Consider the following 24,520-nt stretch of genomic DNA (forward strand, 5'->3'; position numbering starts at 1 on the left):
GCCCAACATACTGTGTTCCTGGTGGCAACTGATCAAACAAATGAAAAGTTTGATGCAAAGGGAGCTTAGATGACATGTTGAATGAACACGTACCTTATGCTGCATTTCATGCCATCTCTCTATGCAGCTTCTCTGTTAAGAATCATAATATAAAGCCCCAAACCTTTACTCCCAGCATAACTCACTTGGTGGTTTTTATTTCCATGTATGGATATAAGATGAAATTAGCCAGAGTGTCTTAACCTAACAGAATATTTTACAGAGTTAAGAAGTAAAATTATAAACAGGCACATTTTCATAGCCTTCTCTACCTTTTACTTGATAGAGGAAGAGAGAAAAATTATTTTAATCAAAAATTCAATTGATTATTAGATAATAACAAGAGAAAAGGGTGGGAAAGAGGGGAGACCCCCAACTTAGGCATGAGAGCATTAATAATCACTGCCCTGTTGTTATAACCCAATTGGCAGTTCTCAACTTGCAGTAATAGAGCTACTTACTTGGATAGGTCTGTAAAGGTTGGCAATGCCACTCCCCAATGCCACGGCCATAGCAGTAGCACTGGTATCTGACACCATGCACATACTTCTCCCATGAATCTCCAATTTGATAAAACGTCCCAGTCTCTGAATCCTGGCATTGGTCTAAAATACATGGAAGGAAAAGATAAACAGCCTTGAAGACTTATAACTACGAATTTAATTTCAGGGTGCTAGAGCATACATTTAGCTTAAATAGAAATTTGCAATTGTTCTTACAAATATATGCAGTTAAAAAAATATTTTGTTCACATTCTTTACCTTACAGGACAGTTTGTAGTAAAAAAAAAACCAAAGTACCTATTAGGAGGAATATTTAGTTTTCTAAAAGGTAATATTTCTAAATAAAAATGTAAAGATTTAGATTTCAGTGTATATTGATAATCTACACATTAATTTTAAATATTAGTTATTATTTTTACCCATATTAATATAACTGGCTTAACATTTAAATAGCAAGAAAAAAATCTGCAATAATTTCATTTTCCTTACTTCTTCAAAATTTAAAGAAACTGTTTGACATTTAAATGAATGAACTAGACTTTACGAGTATACCTGCTGAGCAGCTTCTAAGAAAACCTCTCAGGCTTCTCTCTCAGTTCTGGTAATCTCACGTCAAACAAACGGATGTTATCAGTTTGTTTTCTCAGTGAGCAACCTGTCTCTTTTGGTAAAGAAATAGTAATGGATCACCTTAAACTTTGTAGTGCTGGTAACACAGCTCTTTTAAGGCTCAGCCTTCACTATTTGCTTAGTTCTATTTTGAAGGGCGGCCAAAAAAAAACCTAGAGTGTTTTGGTGGGTGATATTTACACCCTTTGCTCATGCTGTTACACAGCTGGTAAGGAAGTGAGTTTGAGACCAGCCTGACCCACATGGAGAAACCCCATCTCTACTAAAGATACAAAATTAGCTGGGCCTGGTGGCGCATGCCTGTAATCCCAGCTACTCAGGAGGCTGAGGCAGCAGAATTGCTTGAACCCAGGAAGCAGAGGTTGCAGTGAGCCGAGATTGTGCCATACACTCCAGCCTGGGCAACAAGAGCGAAACTCTCTCTCAAAAAAACAAAAACAAAAACAAAAACAAACAAAAAAAAAAGGAAAGAATACTTTTAATAGCATGGATTATCTTTATGATTCTAAACCCAAGAATAAATTCCATTCAATTAAAATAAGCCTAAATTTGTCACCAAATTCAGCAAAAACCAGACGACTACCAATATCGAGATATTTTGGTCCAGTATTAGAGAGAAGACTTTGCAAAGTTCTTTGCAAGCAACTGATCAAAGTCTGGAGCCAACTTCAGTCATGTGATTTCACATAGCTTTTCTTATCTGAAACTTGCTAACCATTCCCCCTGTGCAAACTCATCTAGGGAAATAGGGCTACTCACCGACGGGATCACACTTCCACCTGCCCCGACCCTGACCGAAGCATGTACAGTTCAGCATGTGCCCCTCTTCATGACGCTTGTGGAATGTGTCGTTCACATTGTAAGTGATGTCATCAACAATGCACTGATCTGTTTAGGAAACAGGTGGGTGAGTGAGAAACTTTTTAAAGTTCCATTGATGAAAGAAAAAAGGTATGCTTCTCAAAGCATACAACTACTTCCACTTAATTATCAACACCTTCCACTAAAATAACTTTTCTACAAGCATAGAATAACATTTTTTTCAAAGTTTGGTCAGTAATACAATTTTTGCCAAAAAAATTTTTTTCTTCCCAAAATGTGTAACTTTTGCAGAGGTTACAGTATGCTCAAGTAAAGAATGTGGTAAAATACACTTTCCTGTGAGAAGCCAGTATTTGAACAAATACATGTCTTACTTTCTGAAAATTTCTTGCTTAGTTGATAATTTCCTTTAAATATCTGCTTGTTAGGATAAATAAGAAGAAGATTAAACATATTTATCTAACACCCAGCATGATGTGGTGGTCTGGTCTCTGGAATAGGGGGAAGGGGAGGAGATACTTAGATTTGGGAAATAAAATGTCAACAGTATTCACAACGCTAAAATAAATTAGGCCAACTCTGTTGCTCACTCTTTGAGAGATCCTGAGAAAATTACTTTTTCCTTTTTGGGTCTCAGCTCCTTGATCTATATAGAGTGAGGTCTCTATGTGTTATTAAGGTCTCTTTCAGTTCTGCAACACCACATGTAATTATTACTCCCGGATGGTGTTACCCACTGGACACCACAAAAGGAGAACAAATTCAGACCAATATCTACGCACTAGCCACATAGATTATTAATAGCTCAGGGTTCTCCCGAAATATTACTTTTCATATCAAAGAAATGGAAAACTAAAACACTTTTAAAAAGTCAATACTTCCTCATATTATATAGCTGGGTGCAAAGGAGAAAAACTAATCTGAACAAGGAAAGTTAGTCCCCTATGTATTTGTTTCCTGAAATCTGGATCTGTAAGGATCTGATTTTAGAATAGCAAGGTCTTCATTTCTTTACAGAAATTATCCTATCTTTTCTAGACATGAATCCAGTGGCATAGCCTAAAGCTGAATGGATCAAATGTTTCATTCTTACTTTTGAAGCCATCTTTTTGGCTCAGCCTAAGTACTTACATGCTAGGAGTGTTTCAGAACATTAGCATTGCTATGCCGCTTGTCTTAGCAGGCTGCCTGCTAAGCCTTTCAGGCTTATCTTACCATGCACAGTAGACTAATGAATGACGTGGCATTCCATATTTCTTCCCCTGCTTTTGGCATAGTGCAAGTTTTCATAAAAAAAAGTGTCCCTTTCTGTACCTTTTGCCATCTCAAATATTTTTGTTAATCAGCCAGCATACCTCGAAGCTGCGAGTAGGCAATGCATGTCCATTCCCCACGACCATTCCCAACACACGTGCACCTCATCATGTGACCCATGTCATGCTGCTTATCCCACTGATCTCCAATGCGGTACATGACCCCTTCATTGGTTGTGCAGATTTCCTCGTGGGCTGTTTGGAAATGGATAAGAAATGCACTTGATAAATGATCACCAGGTCTAAACATGTATGTGTGCAAAAGGATCAGTTCAGTTTGGTCATCCTAAGAATTCTCACTTGGGAAGAAGCTTTGTGTGCATCAAAGACATCTAAGTGCTGTCAGGTGAAGGGGTAGAATTTTTGAGCCCTGGAGGCAGAAAACGTAGTCCAAACGTGTCATAGAAAATAGTTACAGGAAGGGTTAGGGGATGTTAAACTAAGATAATATCTACACATCCACACAAAGGGTTCTTGCTGTTCTAGAAGCCTGGATTTAACTACAGCTTCATAACTTTTCCCAGTTCCAGTTTATTCTGGATCAAATAAAAACTATGGGTTTGGATATAGAATTACAAGCAAAAGTGGGTTTTTTCTTCTAAACTCAGCATCTTCTTTTGTTGAAAGAAATAAAAGTATAAGCAATTTCTTTGTCTCATAGTCACACTTGACAGTGCCTACCGCCCAGGCTCTTGTTTCTACAACTGGAAAATTAAAGGGAATCTATGGGGTTCTTGAAATCTGAAAACAAGTAAAAGGTATTCGTTTCCATTTGTTCGCCATCTATACAAACTGGGGACCTTTAAAAAAAGAGTGAGATTCCCTACCTGTTAGAAAACATTGAGTTTTAGTCACTTTGGCACTTATTAATAAGTGATAGAGCTTATGCCCATCAAACCACAACCATGTGTCAATATTGTAGCTCTGTGACTAAAGCCGTCATACATATATTAAATGTTGTAAGCTACTCAGTTGTGTGCTCTTTACAAAGACAAACCTGTGCAAATTCATATTTCCAGACTTACAAATAAGTAATTATATTTTTGACATTAAATCATGTCAATGAGGTTTAAAAATTATATAAATAATTATCTAATTATTCTTCCCAATCCTTATGTATATGATGTAACATCACACACACACACACACACACACACACACACAAACACACTTCACATGAAGTTTTCTGTTGTCTCAAAATTGTGTTAATGAATGAAATGGGAGTAAACTGGACACTAGTCTTTAGTCTCTACTCCCTAAATTGTTGTCAAACAAGACAACCCACAAGGGCTTCATCTTACCAGCCATGGGGCAGAACCCAAACTTCTGGTCGGCATCATAGTTCTGTGTGGTCCCACACCACTTCATGTTGTCTCTTCTGCCCTCAGAAGTGCAATCAGTGTAATTGTGGTTGTTGTATAGGAAGGGGAAGTGGCACAAGGCACCATTGGAATTTCCTCCTCGAGTCTGAACCAAAACTGCCAGGAACAATACACAACAAAGAAGGAAAAGATTACCGCTGAGCTTTCCAATGTACACAGAATTACTGGTCTGAGAGAGCCAGGTTTCTGCAGCTCATTCACAGACAGTCTATCTCAGAATAAAAAATGTCTGATAATATAGTTCTAAGCTTCTTAGCATATTTACCTTCACACCTTCAAAACAGGTTTAAATCCCACTTTCACTGTCATTTCCCCAGCACCCCCCCCACAAAAGATTAAATGATAGCTTTGAATAAAACATTGTTTTAACTGGAAAATAAGCTAAGGCACTAAAACATTCATCCTTTGTATTCCTCAGCCCTGTGGGATCATCTACTGATTCCAAAATACAAGTATCTTTAATCACATCATAATCCCAATGTGTTAAATCAAATGAACTGGAAGGCTACTCCCTTGGTGTCATTTCCCAACAGTACTGGGGAAGATGGAAGAATCCTCAGCTGTTACGTGAGCGCTGCGATCTCTTGAGTCCAAACTGAACAAAAGCGATGCTTCTTGGGCGGGTTCAAAATAAATGGCTAGAATGCTGGCAAATAAAACTAGGGCATGAAAGTGAGTTTTTCTCACTTCTGTGGCTCCCCCTTGGGACACTCACCAGTGTGGTCTGTGCAGAAAGAGTATTTCTGGTCCTGCTCATAATTCGAAGTTGTGCTGCACCAAAGATGTCCGTCCTGTCGCCCTTCTGTGGTGCAGGAGTAGAACGTCCTGCCATTGTAGGTGAATGGTAAGACACATGGCTCTCCATTTGAGTTGCCACCGTAAGTCTGGGTTACAGCTACAATCATAATCAAAAGAGTGTCAGTAAACAGAGATGCTTTATCTCCCACCAGCAGCTGCTTATTTATGGCTTCAATGAGATACTGAGCTTGTGCCCTCAAAGGAAGAAGCTATGAGTATAGATGATCATCTCGTTAATTTCAGTCAAAATGCATTACTCAGGAATCCATGTCTACTGTGGATAGAACGACACCTGAGTTCTTCTGCTGATGTCCTTCATGACCACTTCTGCTGCCATGCCTCAGTTTCTCTATTTGTAAAGCTATATTTATACAGGTCAATTAAGGATGCTGCTTAAGGATGTTGGGATAATATTTATGACTATATCTATGCCATAAAATTAATATATGAGACTATTCTGGGGGAGAATTGTGTAGCAATTGTTATTGCCATAGTGACTACCATGTTTGTAGTGCAGAATACATATATTAGGTTATTGGAAGATGTTTACATCACAAAGCTGCTGAAATTTGAGATTTAGAATATAAAACATTGATGATTATTCAGAAAGTAGCTCTCTTGTAACAACACTTTAGACAGATAAATACAATAAAATTTTTACCCATGATATCCATGACCAGAAAGAAAATACATAAATTAAAAAGATTGGAAGAAACTATTTCAAATGCCAACCCTAATTGTTATCACAGGGTGGTAAGATTACAGGCTTCTTGTTTGTTTTATTGTTTCACATTGAAAATGTATTGTCCTTCAAAAACTAAATAATAAAGTCATCAGTCCTATTCTTCAAAAAGATAATGCATACCTGTCTCTTGGCAGCTGACTCCGTTGCCCAGGCACGTGCAAAGCATTTGCTTATTTCCTTGTGTCTTCAGCCACTGCATCCCCACAGAGTAGACCACACCACTGTCTGTGACACAGTGGCCATAGGGAGGAGGCTGGGGGTGAGGCTGCGGTTGGTAAACAGCTGCACGAACATCGGTGAAGGGGCCAGATCCTAATGGCATGAAAAGGGAATGTCACAAAACTGGGTGAGAGAAGACAATTCACTACTTTCTGCAGTCAGGATCTTCAGGATCTCACAGAGATCACTCTGAAATCTATGTCGCTACTGGCCTGGGACTGGAAAAAAATGTCCCTTATTCAGCAGTAGCTTTTGCATTTAGCCTAGGAAATAATCCACAAGTGTCTACCAAGTGGTCTCCATCCTCCAGCTCAGCTGGGGCTACTGGGATTATATTTCTTTTTGTTTGTTTGTTTTTTGGTTTTTTGGGTTGTTTTTGAGATGGGGTCTCACTCTGTTGCCCAGGCTGGAGTGCAGTGGCGCGGTCTCGGCTCACTGCAACCTCTGCCTCCTGGGTTCAAGCTATTCTCCTGCCTCAACCTCCCAAGTAGCTGCAATTACAGGCACGCACCACCATGCCCAGCTGATTTTTTTTGTATTTTTTAGTAGAGACGGGGTTTTGCCATGTTGGCAAACTCCTGACCTCAAACTCCTGTCTCAAACTCCTGACCTCAGGGGATCCACCCGCTTCGGCCTCCCAAAGTGCTGGGATTACAGGCATGAGCCACCTCGCCTGGCCGGGATTATATTTCTCAATCACAGACATCATCCTGCCACTCCATACAGCAGATACCTTCAACACATCCTCACTCTTCTGAGTAACCGAGCTCATCAGAGGGTGCCTTCAGCAGCTGTCCTGGATTTTCTGGAGGTCACCTCCACCTTCCACATTTTATTTCTCCTCTGGATTATTTGTGATTCTATTGTGTTTTTTCTAAAACCAATTGATCCTCTTAAGACAGCTTTCCTTTCAGAATAACACAACAGGATGTGTTGATCTTTTCTTTTTTCTTTTTTTTTTTTTTTTTTTTTTTGAGACGGAGTCTCACTCTGTCACCCAGGCTGGAGTGCAGTGGCGCAATCTCGGCTCACTGCAAGCTCTGCCTCCCGGGTTCACGCCATTCTCCTGCCTCAGCCTCCCGAGTAGCTGGGACTACAGGCACCCGCCACCACGCCCGGCTAATTTTTTGTATTTTTAGTAGAGACGGGGTTTCACCGTGTTAGCCAGGATGGTCTCGATCTCCTGACCTTGTGATCCACCCGCCTTGGCCTCCCAAAGTGCTGGGATTACAGGCGTGAGCCACCGCGCCCGGCCGATCTTTTCTTTCAACTTTTAGATATCTGTTCTCTTGAAGGCCAGGGCCCACCGCAGAACAGAATCAGGGCTGAGGCTAGACCAAAGGTACACTGAATTCAGTGCCTCCCTAAGTGCTGCTGAACACTAGAACCCAAAGATGTTCACAGACAAAGAATCCCAAGGTCAAACGTACTAGGGAGACATGGCGCCCATCCCCTACACTCTACCATGGAGAGTATGATGTAAAGGAACACACAGATTCTGCAGAGCAGGTTCCATTTTGTTTAACCCATTGCTTCTCAAACTTTTTTGAACAATGGAATCTTTTCAGTATTGGCAATATTCATATATAGCTAACATTTATTGAGTGTTTATCCCCATTTAATTCCCACCTACACTTTTAATCTATTTTGGTAGACTGACATTTATAATTTTTTTTATTTTTTATTTTATTTTATTTTTTTGAGATGGGGTCTCGCTGTATCACCCAGGCTGGAGTGCAGTGGTGCGATCTCGGGTCACTGCAAACTCCACCTCCCGGGTTCATGCCATTCTCCTGCCTCAGCCTCCCGAGTAGCTGGGACTACAGGCGCCCGCCACAACGCCTGGTTAATTTTTTGTATTTTTAGTAGAGATGGGGTTTCACCGTGTTAGCCAGGATGGTCTTGATCTCCTGACCTCGTGATCCGCCTGCCTCGGCCTCCCAAAGTGCTGGGATTACAGGCGTGAGCCACCGCGCGTGGCCGATGTTTATAATTTTTTTTGGCCAGTAGCAATTTTATTAATGATAATAAAATAACTCAAAGATATTATCAAATCTAATCTTGTTCACCTTCATAAGTGCTCAAAGCAAGACAAAAACTCATCAAAAGAAGAAAAATTAGAACAATTAATATTTTTAATTGAAGGATGGCTGAGACACTACGTAATGATGTTGGCACATCATATAGTAAAAAGTTAATCAAAACATATTAAAAATAATGAGAGGAGTGCACGTCCTTGTTGGCCATATTTCTCTCTTCAGATTTTTATGAAACATTTATGACGTAAAAATCTTTTTCTCATGCCAAAAATGATTAAAACTTGTTTTTTAAAAAGAATGCTTAGATATCATGTCTTTCATGGCCATCTCTAAGTCCTCTCTGAATTTCTAAAATTTCGAATGCCAATACATGAAGGAAATAATTGTGTGTTACTTTATAGAATGTAACAAAGTTTGCCAGAGCATAGAAACCACATATAAAGGATGGTTTCCACTACAAAAAGAGTTCAATGTCGGGACAGGGAAGTATATTTCATTCAAAAACAAACAAACAAAAAATCCAAATGCACTTTTTTTGTCCTTTCCTAGCAGAAGAACCAGGTAGTCATATAATTAATTATAACTCTCATTTCCTTTCAAATGAACTTTGGATATTCAAAATACGTGTGTGTGTGCGTGTGTGCGTGATCTATCCATGGTAAGTTTTATGATGCTAGCATTCTTTAAAACTCAGTTTTATCTTTTGGAGATAAATCTGGCTTTTTTCCCCCTAAGGTTTATTTGTATGTCATTTTTCTTTTTTTCTGAAAAATTTAAAACTTGACATTAAAAAAAGTTTTAACAACCAATAATGTGTAAATTATCTTAGGTTATTAGCTGAAACACTGCAAATTATCCTCAAATGGCATGTCAAAGGAAAGATGGATTTGCGGAAATATTTCTTGACCTGCTTCCCCATTTCCCGCCCCTGCTCGTCCTGTGCCTCACCGCTCGATGTGGTCTGCACAGAGGTGTGCCTCTCACACTTCCACTCTCCTCGGCCGTTGCCTGTGCAGATGCACTGGAGCAGGTTTCCTCGATTATCCTTCTTGCTCCAGGTGTCTCCAATTCTATAGGATGTCCTTGTGTCCTGATCGTTGCATCTATCTGTGTCACAAAGGAAGCACATACATACATCAGGTCGAGAGTCGCAAGTGGTCAATTCAAACTTAAAAAAGGAATGCTATCTATGCCTGGTAATCTATTTTTGGTAATATGTTCATATTCAGCTCTGGTGCTGCAAGGTATTACACTTCTGAAAGATGAAATTACATTTGTTACAGTGGAAAGGCAGCTGAATGGTTTAGTCTAGTTTCATCTCTCTGTCAAATAACATTTTCATTTATCTATTTATTTATTGTTTTCACACTGTTCCTTTGACTAACTTCATTCTCTGGCATTATATTTCATCTTTTTCCTTCTCAGGCTCTTCCAGGATTTTTCTTAGTCATCACTGTTTATGGCCTGCCTTTCAATAGGGACCTTGCTTTAGAAAACTAAAAACAGGCTAAGCGCGGTGGCTCACGCCTGTAATCCTAGTACTTTAGGAGGGTGGATCACCTGCAGTCAGGAGTTCAAGACCAGCCTGGGCAACATGGTGAAACCCCCGTCTCTACTAAAAATACCAAAAAAAATTAGCCGGCTGTGGTGGCGGGCGCCTGTAATCCAAGCTACTCGGGAAGCTGAGGCAAGAGAATCGCTTGAACCCGGGAGGTGGAGGTTGCAATGAGCTGAGATCACACCATTGCACTCCAGCCTGGGCGACAGGGTGAGACTGTCTCAAAAACAAAACAAAACAAAACAAAACAAAAAAAACAAGCAAACAAAAAAAAGCTTATAACAATGGGGAGGCAAGCAGGTATCAAAGGGTCTTCACCAATGGCTACAAAGAAGCTATAAGAAGGTGGTAGTATCTCTTTCTTCATTTGTTATGTAAAAAATGTAGAGGATGCACAATTTCTTTGACTAAAATATTATTTTCCCTTCCCCTATACCCAAACATCTACAGTATTTAAAAATCACTAGCAAAATAGCCCCAAATTATTCAGTGTTAGCCCTCCACTGGAAGAGTGGGATCAACATAAAATGATAATTTGTAACTAAATGACCATTAGTCTATGCGTGCATTTATCTGGTAAATAGATTATTTAAATTATAATCCAAATTTGCTCTGTGCCACGATGTGAGTATAGAGGATCTGATGTCTTTGTGAATTGGATATTGTTGCAACTCCTGGGTTAGAGAAAAAAAATTAATAGTTGATGTAGGTTCAAACAAATACACACCCACATCCATCTACCACAAGAATAGAAGTTTGCATGAAGGTATAATTACTGATTAGAGCTTTTTCCCAAATCCCCAGCGAAAAGTATTATCATCCCCTGAACCTCCATAGCACTACTTTCAGTATTTCTGTTGAAATCTTTAATACTGTGTTTTGCAGATGATAAATATGTATAAGACTTTCTCATCTCCCTGACCCCCTAAGTACTCTTTGAAGGCTGGGCTAATGTTCATTTCATATCTGCACCCCTATAATACCTTGAACAAAGTAAGTCCTTATAAAATTTTCTGGAATAAATGACTTCTCTTTGAGAAACTTTTCCCAACTTGCTATTTAAAGAGTTCTAAATAACAGATAAGGTTTGAATCAGACATCTAATTTGTCTTAAGCTAAAATATTGCCACAAAGATCTTGGAAGTCTGATGATCACAGTAACATTTTAAATGCAAAATATCTAATAAACCAGCAAGTTTCTGGGAAAGCTTTGGTCAAAATGGTTACCACTTTTCATGAGAGACCTATTTTTGTTAGCAAAGAATTTGAATTTGGATGATGGCTATGTTAAAGGTAGTTAAATGGGTTCAGCTAGATAAATAAAACAGGTTCAAATTATTTGGATTTGATTTTAAACTTATTTACAACACCAGTAGTTAATGGCTGTTTTACTTCAACAAACTCTCTAGCTGTTATTAGTTTACAATATCAAAAAAGGAGCCTTCAAACCCAAAGGCAACAATTAAGACCCCAAGACAATCTTAGAAGGAGCAGTAAAGACACCAGAGGCCAGCTTCTTTACAGCACTAATCAAATGCGTTAGGTCAGAGACACTATCCCTAACTCCAGAGTAGATAAATCATTTTAATTTATGGGATAAATTCTTTTTAATTTTATCAATTTAGCCTGTGAATGTGCCCTATTTAAATTTCAAACATAGAAGGAAACCTAAACCTTTTGTTCAACTCTATGTCAGTGGCAGTGAGCTGAGATTGAACCTTATCAAAGTGATATGTTTTTCTATTTATGTAGTCTTCTCTGAAGATGCGGAATAAGTTGGTTATGAAAGTTTTCTTGACTTCCAGAAGTTACCAAAGCATGCTGATATACTGGATGTGTTCTGAGTAACATAGTATTACCCTTCTCTCTAGGAATCCAGAAAACAATACCTGGCTTAATCTTTAACATAAAGATGTAAAACATACTTCTAGAAGTGCAAGTGATGCGTCCGCTGCCTTCTCCCAGGCAAGTACAATCTACCATCATCCAGCCTTGGTAGGGCTTCTCCCACGTTTCTCCGACCACATAGGAAGTCCCAGCAGCATGATCAAAACACTTCTCAGCTGTAGGGAAATTTGGAAGAAAAACAGGAAAAAAAGGTTATTTTGAATTGTGCAAGCTCCCTGTAATTTAAAGTGTAGTGTGTAAGCAAAAATTCAGCCACATTTTTTTTAAGTGGCACTCTGTTCAGAAAGAATGACACACCCAGCATCTAAGCACACAGTAAGTAGCCAAGGCAAAAGAAAGCTCAAGCTGAGTTGGCAGGCAGAAATTCCATTCTCCTAATAAGTACATGGACTACATATTTTCAGCGAGCCCCAAACTTCCCAGCAGCATTTCCAGTAGCAAGGATCTATGTATGTATCTAGTCTGTGGGAGACTACATATGCAAAATTCCAATCTTAATTATAAATGACCAATTATGAATTTTGAGTGGCCTAAATACAATGACAAAGAAAGCTATTTTTAAATATTGGAAAGCAAAACAATACAAAACAAGACAAAAACCTCTAAATTAGAAGACAAGTAAACAGAGTAAAATTTATAGCCAGAAACTTTCAGGCTTGTACTTACAAAATTCAACTGAGGATTGAGATCCAAAGAAGCTCAACAACTTTTAATTTGAAAAGAAATGAGCAGAGTGTGACAAGCACACACTATTTCATGTTTCGGTCCAGGACATTCCATATAGAAATGTGTCCAAAGTGTCATTTTTTTTTCTTTTAAATAAATTATATCTTGACGAAGGAGGAATCTGAGATCAGCTATTAGGTAAAAGAAATGACTCCATTCTAAATCTTTCAATTCTACCTTATGCTTTTGAAGCAAAGTTAAGACTTCTATGTGTAGTCAGTACTTTTTGATCTAACTCCTGTAAGAAGACTATGGATTATATAATAATTCATTATTTCAAACAAAATTCCCATTTCTTTATTGGTTTTCACTGGAATTCAGGTCTATGACCTATGTAGATGTGATTCTGGTCCAACCCCACATTAGAACTAAGCATCCCAGCTCTTGCTCAGCCCTAAGACTCACACACCTATGGGCTTGCAGGTCCATTCTCCTTTTCCATTACCAAGACACACACACTCTAACATGTAACCACCAGTCTCATGTGGTCTCCTCCAGGTGTCACCAATCTTGTAGGACTGACCCCCTTCATGGCAGCGGTCTGTTGAAGATACAACGAAAATGTTAGGAGAGGGCAGAACAGATTTTTTTTTTTGGTCTCATATTCCACCCATGGTAGGTACTTAGGTTGGCTAAAGTAGAGACACAGACAACAGCTTTCCCATCAGAGACAGGGGAAACGTTAACAGGTCTGGTCACTTGGAGTCAATTCAGTTAAGTGTCTTGCTTAGAACACAATGGAAAACCACAGAGAAATCTGGATGGCAAGGAAGAGGTCATGAATCCTGCTTTCCCAGAGAGATCACAGGAAATTGGGTCCTAAGCAGAAAAGAAAGGCTGGGAGGCTTGGTCTTCACTCATACACAGCAGGCTAAGACTGAGACTAATTCAGTGAAAAGGCCACATCAGGCACAGCACTCCAGCTTTTGGGAGCATGGAGAGCCTGTATTTTACCCTAGGATAGAAATGTCATTTTGGTGGAAAGCAAACAGACATATGCATATAAAGTGTGGAAATCCTGGTAGTTTTCTAAGTTGTTAAGCCCAATGGCACATTCAAATGCTGAACTAGATTGTAAACACTATGGACCCTTGCCTCTTGCGATTTGCCTGTGAACTTGGATAAACCCTAACATGAAATATGGGGAAAGTTGATTGGGCCTATTCACACGGGACTTGTTCTTTTGAATAGAAGTCTTTAAGACGACTTATATTTAAAGAATGGATTAAAAAACTTAAATACTATCTTAATAGAATCTATTGGTAACCCAGTGAATCATACTGGAAAGAGTGCCTTAGCTAAACTAGAGTTGAGAATCAGCCCGGTTCCCAAAGTTCCTTAGCAAACTCTATTGGGTTAATAATTTTGTATTATCCCTAGGAATAGTGACATCTGCTTCCTGGGTATAACCTACTGGTCACCAAGAAACCAGACTGTTTCTGTGAGGTGCAAGAGGTCTCTGCATTGCAAACATGAAGACCAGACAACACATGGCTGGTTCACTCTTCATGAACACCTTCCCAGTCACTGCAGAAAAGTCTCATGATTTGTCTAGCTTGAAGATATCCAGGTGATTTAAAATGGGCAACTCCCCTAAGCATGTCTTACTGAAATGGAACCCAAGAGGTCTCTTGGTTCTACTATGTACAGAAACACACACACTCATAAATGCACACACACTCATAAACGCACACACATCAAACACTGATTCCATCTGTGCTCATACCCGTCTTTAAGAAACACAGGAACCAGTTGGGTGACCACTTAAGAGTACCTGGTCACCAGGGGCAAACCTCAAAGTTCGGAATATCCAGTCATGGATAACAGAAAATGACAGTGATGGTAACAGAGAAATTCATATTTGATATTTTGGCATCATTTTACACAATCTCTTCCTTACTTGCGATGGTACAGCTTATTCTCCCTCGCCCAGCCCCGATGCAGGTACAGTCCCAGATCATGGAGTCTTTAGGACGCTCATAAGTGTCACCCACTCGGTAAGTGTTCCCAGTGTACTTGTCAAAGCAAGTCTCTTCAGCTGAGGGGAAAAGGAAAGTCCATGTGAGCCTCACTTAGGTACAAGCTTTTCTAGTTCACTAATCCCCTCTAAAGGAAAACCCACTTCTCTATTCCACAAGTAACATGGTACACCTCAAAGAATAAAATGAAGTGAGAGATACAGATTTTTATCCTAAGCTCTAATAAGGCCATGGTTTTTGACCTTGACATATTGTCAAATTTTCTGTAAATTATTCATATTGTAGAAAAATCTCAGGCTCTTAGGAAAAGGCCATATAAAGTACTAACTTATGACAGAGCTAGATTTGTGAAGGGTTTCACATTCCAATCTCTGACTCAGAAAGTCAAAGCAAGGTTCACATAAAAAGCAAACGATTGGCCGGGCACAGTGGCTCACGCCTGTAATCCCAGCACTTTGGGAGGCTGAGGCGGGTGGATCACCTGAGGTCAGGAATTCGAGACCACCCTGACCAATACGGTGAAACCCCGTCTCTACTAAAAATATGAAAATTAGCTGGGTGTGGTGGCATGTGCCTGTAGTCCCAGCTACTCAGGAGGCTGAGGCAGGAGAATTGCTTGAACCCTGGAGGCAGAGGTTGCAGTGAGCTGAGATAGTGCTACTGCACTCCAGCCTGGTGACAGAGCAAGACTCTGTCTCAAAAACAAAACAAAACAAAAACAAACAAACAATTCGAAGATCCCCACCTCCCACAAGGCCTTGACAGTTGTTAATCCTATGATTTCCATTTTCCCCTGATCAGTGCTTCTCTGACAGAGTTGCTATAATTTATGAGAAAAATATCATTGGTCCTAAAGGAATGAGAACTTTGAAGTGGCTAATGGTTTTGTGTTAACTGCCGCTGACAAATCATTTTACGATGTAAGTCCCCAAAGTGTTTTCTGGCTCATAAACTAACAGTTTAAGATTTGAGACTGCTTTCTAATAAATTAAAATTTTATAAGCAATTTTTTTTGTCGGAGGACACACAAAATCTTTCATTTTTCTCATCAAAAACTTTGGGAGAGTAAAGCAAAAAGAAGACTCTAGGAACTAATTTGGGAAAGATTCGTTTCTTTGTTTTAAAGGTAAAAGCATGTGAAAAGCAAATATAAGCAGTTTTTAAACTTAAGAGGAAATGACAGGTAATTCTATTAGAAAAATGGTGTATGTATTTTTACTTACTAATGCAAAGTTTAACAATTACCACTTCATGTATTAAAAGATACTAACTATGGGGCTTGTTGTCACTTACCTTCAGGTTTACTCTCGCAGTTAAAACCTCGGCTTCCTCCATAACAAGTACAAACCAACGCATTGCCTAGGTAGGTCCGCTCCCACTGTTGATTTATCTGATAGTGTTTTCCATTGTCATAACAACCGGCTGCAAATAATTGAAGGAAAACGTTACATTTGCATTTCTCCTTTTCCCAAAATTATGGAATTTTCTTCATGTGAATATTGACGTACATATTTTTTTCCTTTTAACTTTGCTAAAAGTTATATACAATGATGTCATTTCCATCTGGCCAGGGGTCTACATAAAAAAGTTGGAAACATTTTGGAAGGCAGACAATTGAAGTCACATTTTTAAAACATGCAAGGAACTTAAATATTCTTTTGGAGTAATAGTCAAAAAGGACAACTTTAAGCAGCTTTCTCAAAGCAAAAGGAGGGTGTGTCTTTGAAAAACGGAAAGAATTCCAACCTCTGTTCTTGGTGAAGTATCCTGAGCGGCCCTAAAGAGGTCTGAACCAATTACATCTCTTCCAAGTTAGTTAGAAACAAGACAGCTATTTCAATACCCCCTTTCCACCCCCATGTTGAAAATATTTGACCAATTATTTAACAGAAGGAAATAAGTAGCAGTAAGGACCACACTAATCCCAGACGGAAAATTTATAGACATGCATCATTTTTCTCTTTAAAGGCAAGTTTTGGTTAATTCCTAGAAGGACAATCTGAACGTGCAGAATTTATTAGAACACGGGAAAGTCGCAGAGTCCTCGTCCTCCAATGCACGGTCTTATCATCCCAGGCCCTCAGAACCAGCGTGCTCAAAACTCGGTCCTTTTGTGTGCACAGCTGGTTTCTCTCAGTAAAGCGCGCACACACTCGCACACACGCGCGCGCACAAAACTTCAGCCCCAACTTTGGTCGGCTTTAGGGTCCCATCCCTGAGGCAGCCTGTTTCAGCCCGCGGTCAGTACTCACGCTTGCTTTGACTGACAGCCACCGGGGACTGGGGCTGAACCATTTGCTGAGCCTGCCTCTTGCTCTTCGAGGCTCCCGTGGAGGGCACCGCTGTCCCCAGGCACTGGACGGCCAGCAGCAGCAGCCCGGGCCCCGGACCCCTAAGCATGTTGAGACGGTGGGGGAGAGACGCCCGCACCGGGAGGCAAGTTGCCACCAAGTTTGCTTCCCTTCGCAACCTGCGGGAAAAATCCCTTCTAATGCCTCCCGGGGGTTGTCGCCTCCAAGAAGGTGGGGGCCAGAGGGTGGGGAAGGGGACGGGTGGAGGGACAGAAGGGATGCAGAGGACCAGAGAAGTTGTGGCTGCAGGTCCCCTCTTCCCGCTCGCGCCTGGGGTTCCCTCTCCTCCCCCTGTGCAGCACAGCCGGCGCGGGCGTCCGAGCGCCGGGAGCCGGGGCTTATATGGGACGGTCCCCTCCCGCCCCTCTGGAGGCCCGGGGCGCGGGGGAGGAGAGACCCGCCGGGCTGTCCCCGCCCCGCCCCACCCCACCCGCCCGCCCGCCCGCCGGCCGCCGCAGCCGACCGCGCGCCGATTGGCCCGGGCTCCGGGTGACGTCACGGGGGACTGTGGGTTCGCAGCGAACAAAAGAGATGCTGATGGCCCGCCAGGACTGGGGCAAGACAACTTTTTTTCGGTTTCCTTTGCGGTCATCAAACTTTTTAGGGGATGGGGGAAGGGATGGGAAGCGGCTGGGAGGAAAGGGAGTGGCTGGACTTGTGTGAAGCGAAGGGGTTGCAAGACGCTCCCCCTTCCCTTTTCTTTTTTATTGGGGGTGGTGGTAGTGTTTGAGGACATTGCGTCACCTCTCTTCGGGGTGGAGGGGGGGAATCTCTGCTTATAGGAGTGTATTTTGTGAGGAAGAAAACCCATAAAATATCCACGACCTTGCAGCTGTTAAGAATCCAGACTTTTCAGTCCCAGGGCGGGGCTGCCTTTCCCCCCATCCCGCTCCCTTTCTTTGGACTAAAGGGTACTGACTCGGGACTCCCTTATTTTGTCTTCACAGCTCCCTGTTCGGACTTCTTCCCTTCTCAGCGCTGTGCCTGTCTGGCTCTGAGAAAGGGCCAGCGGGCGAACGGGGAGCAAAGGGGAACAGAGACCTTTAATGAGCTTCTACTAAGTACCGGGAGTTCCGCGGGGCGCTTTGCAGATCCCGGGGAAGTTCAGAGAATGAAGTTTTCTTTTGCAAGGACAAAGTAACAGTTTACTTTTTTACACATGCAGGAAAGCCTTCCTTTCCTGGGGATGGGACGCCCGTTTCCACTGAAAGTGAAATCACTGTGAACAACCTGAAAATTGGAAAGTTGGACCAGCTGTGGGGAGAGAAAGGTCTTCGTGTCCTTTCCCACGTTCACCGTGCCAGTTACACACAAAGCAGAGATTTTTTTGCTTGAATCATTAAAAGCCGGGTGGGTGGGGGGCACCCTATGTACTGTCTTGCCCTCCTTCGGCCCCTTTCTCACATTTATTTGCCATTTTCTTTTTGCTGACAAGTTCCATTACAGAATGCCCCCTCCATCCCCCGCCGCCAGATTTTTTATATTTCAATTGTTATTTACTCCAAGAGTGTGGAAAGTTCTCCTTTAAGATTCCCCCGCCTTGAACTCTAAACTCAGAGTGGAAAGGGAATCTGAAAAGTCTCTCATTTAGCAACACATCACATCAGTCCTTTTTGTCAGATAAACACAGGCACAATTGCTTTTAAAGATCTTCAGAAGGAGGAGTCCACCACTTCCACAGTAGATCCAGAGAGACCCGAACTGAATGCTTTGCCTTCTCCTTGTGTTAGGAGTTCAGAGGTTCCATTTGCTTTAAAACACAAGAAGCTACTAATAAAATATATTTATTTCGGCAAGGTACCTATTTTCTCCAAAAGTTTCACCTTCAGTAATTGCCACAGGAGTAATTAGAACTCTGTGTTCTATAAAATGCCTGACACATTAAAGACACAAAATTAGCATTTGTTTTTATTCATGCAAGGATTTAAAACCAAACCAAAACAAAGCAAAACACCCAGCAAATATCAGTTTCCTACAAATAGTGTAAAAAAACCTCTTGAGGAATCTTTGTGACCCACACTCCAAATTGAAAGAGTGCCATGGATTTCCCCAAATTTAGAATCCTGTCTGGGTTAGAGGATTTTTTTGGAATTTCTCATCACTTGACAAAACAGTTTTCTCTTTTCAAATATAAAAGAGCTCCTTGTAAAATGCTTGGTAAATTTCTGGGAAGCCGAGTGTTTCTTCCAGAGGGAAGGATACCTGGAAATCCGGATGTAAGCAAGATAAACCTGTAGCTAAAGCTTTCTTAAAATTCATTGATTCTGGGGGAAGGAAATAAGTGATTAGAAAAGTATTTGGTCAACCAAAACCATGATAGTTTGATATATTTACTGCACTGAAAATACACTAGAATCATATGCATAGTGGAGCTTGAAGTGGAAAGCCCACCTTACATTTTGGAAGAAACTTTTATATTTCAATCCCATAGATATCTAATTTATTTAAGGAAACAGGATATCTCTGTCTCATAAGAAAAAAAATAACATCTGACTGATTTTTATAGGAATGCTTGGGAGTTTACTCTTTTACTTGAAAGGTTTTTTTTTTTTTTGCCTTTTTTTTTAAACTTTAGAAACAGAGGCGTTTCTTAGTTAAGATAACAGGGCTTACTACAGTATTCTTTAATTATCAAGGTCCCTTGTAACTCTAAGTCTGTTATCTCTAATTGGAGAGATAATTAAATCTTAAAGACCACTCTGACTCTAATTCAACCAACGTGTGTGGTGTCCAGGATCGTTGGACTTCCTTAAGAATTCTATTTTATCCAGGTGGGTTCTTCCTCAGTAAATTGTATTCTCCTATTGGTAGGAAATACTCTTGGATTTCTTTCTTTCTTTCTTTTTCTTTCTTTCTTTCTTTCTTTCTTTCTTTCTTTCTTTCTTTCTTTTTCCTTCTTTCCTTCTTTCTTTCTAAAACTGTATTCAGAGAGAGAAATGTGACAAAAAAAGGGAAATCAATAGAGACAGAAAGTAGATTCATGGGTACCCAAGTTTATGGGCTGGGAACAGGAATTAACTGTAAAAGGGCACAGGGAATCTTATTGAGGTGATGGAAATCTGTGTTCTAAAACTACATTGCAGTGATGACTGTACAATTTGGTAAAAGCTTCAAAATTCTGGGGATTATACACAAAATGAGTGAATTTTACGGTATGTAAATTATGCTTCAATAAAGTTGTTTTTTTCAAAAGTTGATTTTAAAAATTAGTATTTGTTCTTTTTTACTCTTAACCATCTCCTGATTTTGGTTTCAAAGACTTGCTCTCAGGTAGCAGCAACATACACAAGGCGTCCTCATTTCTTCATTTTTCTGAGAGGAAGTTTGCCTTGAATATAGTAGTGGATTTCTTCTACACCAGTAACTCCTTCTGAAACCTACTATTTGTGTGAAGGCATATATGTGGTAGAGACAGAACAAATCTTCATTTAGGACTGTGCCTTGTTTCTTCTTGGAATTGCCATAGTGATAGAATTTTCCCAGAGCCTCAGGCAATTTAAACTTTTTGTAACAAAAAGAAGCACATATATTTTCGGGAACTAGGGGGGTGTGGGTGGCGGGGGGCAATGGTATTGGGAAATTTTATTATTCCAGAAGGTTAAGGAGGAGCATGAGCAATTATGGAAATCTGAATTAAATTGATTTCATTTGTTTTGAAGATTAGCAATGGAGACATTTGATTAAGCACAAAAAATAATTGATCAGATCCAGTCATTTAGAAGGACTGAAATAAAAACAGGCTAGGTGTGGTGATTCATTCCTGTAATCCCAGCACTTTGGGAGGCCAGTGTGGAAGGGTCACTTAAGCCCAGGAGTTCAAGTCCAGCCTGGGCAATATAGTGAGACACTCTTAATAATAATGATAATAATAACCAGATATGGTGACAGGCACCTCTCGTCCCAGCTATTCAGGAGTCTGACATGAGTCCTGGGGGATGACTGGAGCCCAGAAGATCGAGAGATCAAAGCTGCAGGGAGCTGTGATCACACCACTGCACTCCAGACCCAGCCTAGATGACAGAGCAAGATCCTGTCTCAAAAATTTAACATTTAACATTGAAATGTTAAATGTTAAAGGTTACATTTAAATATGTCACATTTAGATGTTACATTTCAAATGTTACATTTAGGTGTAACATTTAATTGATGGGCTGTTTTTCCTGAAACCTTTGGCTTTTATCCTGTTATTAATTTCTTCCAGTTCTGCTAGAGAGGAGGCCATTGACTCTGGAGAGCTCGAACTTTCATTTCATCTTCTTCTATAGGTAGATTAGAGGGAGATAAATTAGGGTAGTTTTTTTTTTTTCTTATTTTGAATTTTTTTTTTTTTTTTGGCATAAAATGCTTCCCTTCTTCCTTGAAAATGGCCACGTTTACAAAAATGTTACTCATTAACCACAGGTGTGAGAAGTTAAAAATAAACTTCCCTGCGGGCAGCCCTCGTAAGTAGAATGTCTGAAAAGTTTGTCAAGAATTGACAGGGTGCCTGCAACCAGGGAGAAAATACTGGATAAGGGCTTTAAATTATGCCATGAAAGCTAACCAGTTTTCGCTTAATAGGCATTTTGTTTACATTTTAAGTGACTTTATTTTTTAATCAGCACTTTTTAAAAGCCTTAATCTATGCTTTTTGCTTCTTAACAGGAATATTCTTTTCTCATTAGAGTGATGTAACTCCCAACAGGCATGGCAAAGGTGTTTAACTTATCCAGTAAAATGGGAACTAACTACTGTGTAGCTGGAACATGTAACCAAAACTGTCTTGGAGAACATTTCATCTTTCCAAGCAAAGTAGCAGCTTCTTGTAAAAATTTTAATTTTGTATGTTATTTCATGTTGCTGGCATTAAAGAGTTTTTTGTTGTTGTTGAAAGGCTGAATTTAAAAAAAAATAGAAGTTTTGCCATATTTAAATTATTTTCTATCCTTTTTGCATTAACATACTTTAAACATCTCATATGCAGCTAATCACAAAAGTTAGTTGAGCCAAATGCTTAAAAATAACCACAAACATTATCTAGTAAATAACAATTTATGCCAACAATAGACTATTTTGATATGAGCTGTCAATATTTATGCCTACCTGTCTAATTAGTGAATTAATTAGTTAAAATAAATTAAGAATACATTCAATCGAATTGTAAAGATGCCATATACATGTTATTGTAAATTTATATTGAACTATTTTCTAGATAAGTTTGATATATTCTTTCATTAAGTATGACCATTTTACTGAGATAAAATGGACATTTAAAATCATTACTATTTTAAACATTAAAAACTAAGGCACTGCTGGCCGGGCGTGGTGGTTCATGCCTGTAATCCCAGCACTTTGGGAGACCGAGGCGGGCGGATCACGAGGTCAGGAGATCGAGACCATCCTGGCTAACATGGTGAAACCCCGTCTCTACTAAAAAAATACAAAAAAAAAAAAAAAAATTAGCCAGGCATGGTGGCAGGCGCCTGTAGTCCCAGCTACTCAGGAGGCTGAGGCAGGAGAATGGCGTGAACCCGGGAGGCGGAGCTTGCAGTGATCCGAGATGGCCCCGCTGCACTCCAGCCTGGGTGACAGAGCGAGACTCTGCCTAAAAAAAAAAAAAAAAAAAAAAAAAAAAAAAAGAAAACTAAGGCACTGCTTACATGCATGCACATTTAAGTAGTCACGAAGTCACAAAGATTTCAGCACCTAGATAGAAATAAATAGCTACATTTTATTAAACACTCTAAACCAGATCCAGTACTAAGTGTTTCATATGAATTTTTTTCATCTAACCATCAACAAACTTTTAAGGTAAGCACTATCATCCTCTCCTCTTACAGATGAGGATATAAAGCTTAGAAAAACAATGTGCAAAAATGCTACTCATTAAGCACAGATGTGAAAAGGAAAAAGAAAATGCCCTGAAGGCAGCTCGCATGAGTATAATGTCTGAGAAGTTTGTTGATAATTGACAAAGAATGAAGTTTTCTCAATCACAAGCCTTGTAGAAATTGTGGCGTCAAGTTGTGTCACTGTCAATACCAGGTGATTAGTCAAGTGATTACATAATGGTCTCCCTCAGAACCAAAGGTATGGGCAAGACAACTGGCTAAAGAATTTTGTGGGTGACTTCTTTCACATGAGATTAATTTATCAAAAGATGTCACACAGGACTCTGCCAACTGACACGCTACCAGTTTCCATCTGTTGTAGCCAAGGCCATTCTTCTGGGAACCAATTTCCTTCAAACAGCCTGGCTGTGTTTCAGCATTTTGAATCAAATGTGGAAGATTGTTACCATCGACTCTCCACTGGGCTGGAAGTTTGCTGGGGGCAGAGGCTCTGTCTTGTTTCCTCTGTATGCCCAGCACTAGGTACCAGGCACCCTTGGATAAGTACTTGGCAAATGTCAAATGAATGAATGGAAGGAGAGAAGGGCAGATGACAAACACTCTGAGATTCACATTCAGTGACTATCCAGCCAGGCACAGTGCTAAGTGCTCTGCATATGCTATTTTATTTTATCTTCAAAGCTACTGCCAGAAGTAGATATCAATAGTGCCATTTTACTCTCTGAAGCTCGGAGCTGAAAGATGGTCCTAGAGCTTATGCTGTAAGAAAGGGACAGAGCTGAAATTGAAATCACGGTCCTCCTGACACAAAATTCTTGCTCTTACCGAAGACATACATGGCTTTCCCCAAAGAGACTTTGCCCTATATGTTAAAAGAACGTTGGAAACACTCTCAGGCAGTTACTTTTTATCTTCCTCTAGATCGTTCTGCCTTGCTTCTGGGCCCTGGGCCTGACCCTGTGAACTGCGGGGCTGCTTCCTCTGTTTGCTGGAGGACAGAGGACGGAGATGAGAGTTGTTCCTGCCCACTCCCTCCTTGTTCTGGCTTCAGTGCCAGAGTTCTAGTGGCAGCTGCCTTTCCCTAGGACCTGCATTATCAATGGGGCAACAGTGCCCCAAGAGGGTAAAAGTGGGTTCTTGGGGTAGAAGGGGAGTGGTTAAAAAATTTCAACCCTACCTAATAAAAATTTTATTCCTTAGTTGTGAATTTAACACTTTTTTTTTTTTTTTTTTGACAGAATCTTGCTCTGTCACCCAGGCTGGAGTGCAGGGACAAGATTTTGGCTCACTGCAACCTCTGCCTCCCGGGTTCAAGCGATTCTCCTGCCTCAGCTTCCCAAGTAGCTGGAACTACATACATGAGCCACCATGCTGGGCTAATTTTTGTATTTTTAATAGAGACGGGGTTTCATTATGTTAGCCAGGCTGGTCTTGAACTCCTGACCTCAGGTGATCCGCCCGCCTCGGCCTCCCAAAGAGCTGGGATTACAGGCATGAGCCACCATGCCTGGCCATGAATTTATCATATTAGATAGACTTTAAATTTCATTTCTTTCCTGGAGGGTTGTATAAGGTAGGGCATTAATACATAAAAGAAAAAGGGAGAAACATTGCTCTAGGACAGCAGTCCTCCCCAGGCTTTGGTCCTCCAAGGCTCCAGCTATCGCTGGCTCCTTC

At 40.4% G+C, this 24,520-nt stretch overlaps 1 protein-coding gene and 1 long non-coding RNA gene across 20 annotated transcripts in view, besides 5 other annotated features; one reads left to right on the plus strand and one right to left on the minus strand.

Moving 5' to 3' along the window:
• Positions 1-17,327, minus strand: part of FN1 (fibronectin 1) — a 75,204-nt gene extending 57,877 nt beyond the window's left edge. For all 18 annotated transcript variants that reach the window (NM_212474.3, NM_001306132.2, NM_001365523.2 and 15 more), the window contains exons 1-12: positions 16,914-17,327; positions 15,955-16,083; positions 14,583-14,720; positions 13,092-13,223; positions 11,974-12,111; positions 9,439-9,597; positions 6,353-6,544; positions 5,405-5,584; positions 4,609-4,785; positions 3,350-3,502; positions 1,932-2,060; positions 501-644 (exon numbers count right to left, since the gene is read on the minus strand). In NM_212474.3, the coding sequence (NP_997639.2) occupies positions 501-644; positions 1,932-2,060; positions 3,350-3,502; positions 4,609-4,785; positions 5,405-5,584; positions 6,353-6,544; positions 9,439-9,597; positions 11,974-12,111; positions 13,092-13,223; positions 14,583-14,720; positions 15,955-16,083; positions 16,914-17,061 (1,819 nt within the window). In that variant the 5' untranslated portion in view covers positions 17,062-17,327. The remainder of the gene's footprint in view (positions 1-500; positions 645-1,931; positions 2,061-3,349; positions 3,503-4,608; positions 4,786-5,404; positions 5,585-6,352; positions 6,545-9,438; positions 9,598-11,973; positions 12,112-13,091; positions 13,224-14,582; positions 14,721-15,954; positions 16,084-16,913) is intronic.
• Positions 1,805-2,099: a silencer, noted in NCBI's record as "tiled region #10603; K562 Repressive non-DNase unmatched - State 7:EnhWF". NCBI's record gives its function as "represses a minimal TATA promoter and a strong SV40 promoter by Sharpr-MPRA in K562 cells {active_cell/tissue: K562}" and the evidence as "EXISTENCE:reporter gene assay evidence [ECO:0000049][PMID:27701403]".
• Positions 4,581-5,780: an enhancer, noted in NCBI's record as "CDK7 strongly-dependent group 2 enhancer chr2:216288045-216289244 (GRCh37/hg19 assembly coordinates)". NCBI's record gives its function as "activates an origin of replication core promoter dependent on BRD2, BRD4, P300/CBP, MED14 and CDK7 cofactors, with strong dependence on CDK7, by STARR-seq in HCT116 cells {active_cell/tissue: HCT116}" and the evidence as "EXISTENCE:reporter gene assay evidence [ECO:0000049][PMID:35650434]".
• Positions 14,639-15,838: an enhancer, noted in NCBI's record as "CDK7 strongly-dependent group 2 enhancer chr2:216298103-216299302 (GRCh37/hg19 assembly coordinates)". NCBI's record gives its function as "activates an origin of replication core promoter dependent on BRD2, BRD4, P300/CBP, MED14 and CDK7 cofactors, with strong dependence on CDK7, by STARR-seq in HCT116 cells {active_cell/tissue: HCT116}" and the evidence as "EXISTENCE:reporter gene assay evidence [ECO:0000049][PMID:35650434]".
• FN1-DT (FN1 divergent transcript) lies at positions 16,950-20,204 on the plus strand. Of its 2 annotated transcripts, none has more exons than NR_187198.1 (2): positions 16,950-17,568; positions 18,178-20,204. It is a non-coding gene; the product is annotated as an FN1 divergent transcript (long non-coding RNA). The 2 variants fall into 2 exon arrangements; NR_187199.1 differs by having other exon boundaries at positions 17,566-17,923.
• Positions 17,351-17,410: a silencer, noted in NCBI's record as "silent region_12299". NCBI's record gives its function as "represses an Ori minimal core promoter by ATAC-STARR-seq in GM12878 lymphoblastoid cells {active_cell/tissue: GM12878}" and the evidence as "EXISTENCE:reporter gene assay evidence [ECO:0000049][PMID:35858748]".
• Positions 17,421-17,510: a silencer, noted in NCBI's record as "silent region_12300". NCBI's record gives its function as "represses an Ori minimal core promoter by ATAC-STARR-seq in GM12878 lymphoblastoid cells {active_cell/tissue: GM12878}" and the evidence as "EXISTENCE:reporter gene assay evidence [ECO:0000049][PMID:35858748]".

This window comes from Homo sapiens, chromosome 2 (assembly GCF_000001405.40).
Source record: "Homo sapiens chromosome 2, GRCh38.p14 Primary Assembly".
Lineage (NCBI taxonomy): Eukaryota > Metazoa > Chordata > Mammalia > Primates > Hominidae > Homo > Homo sapiens.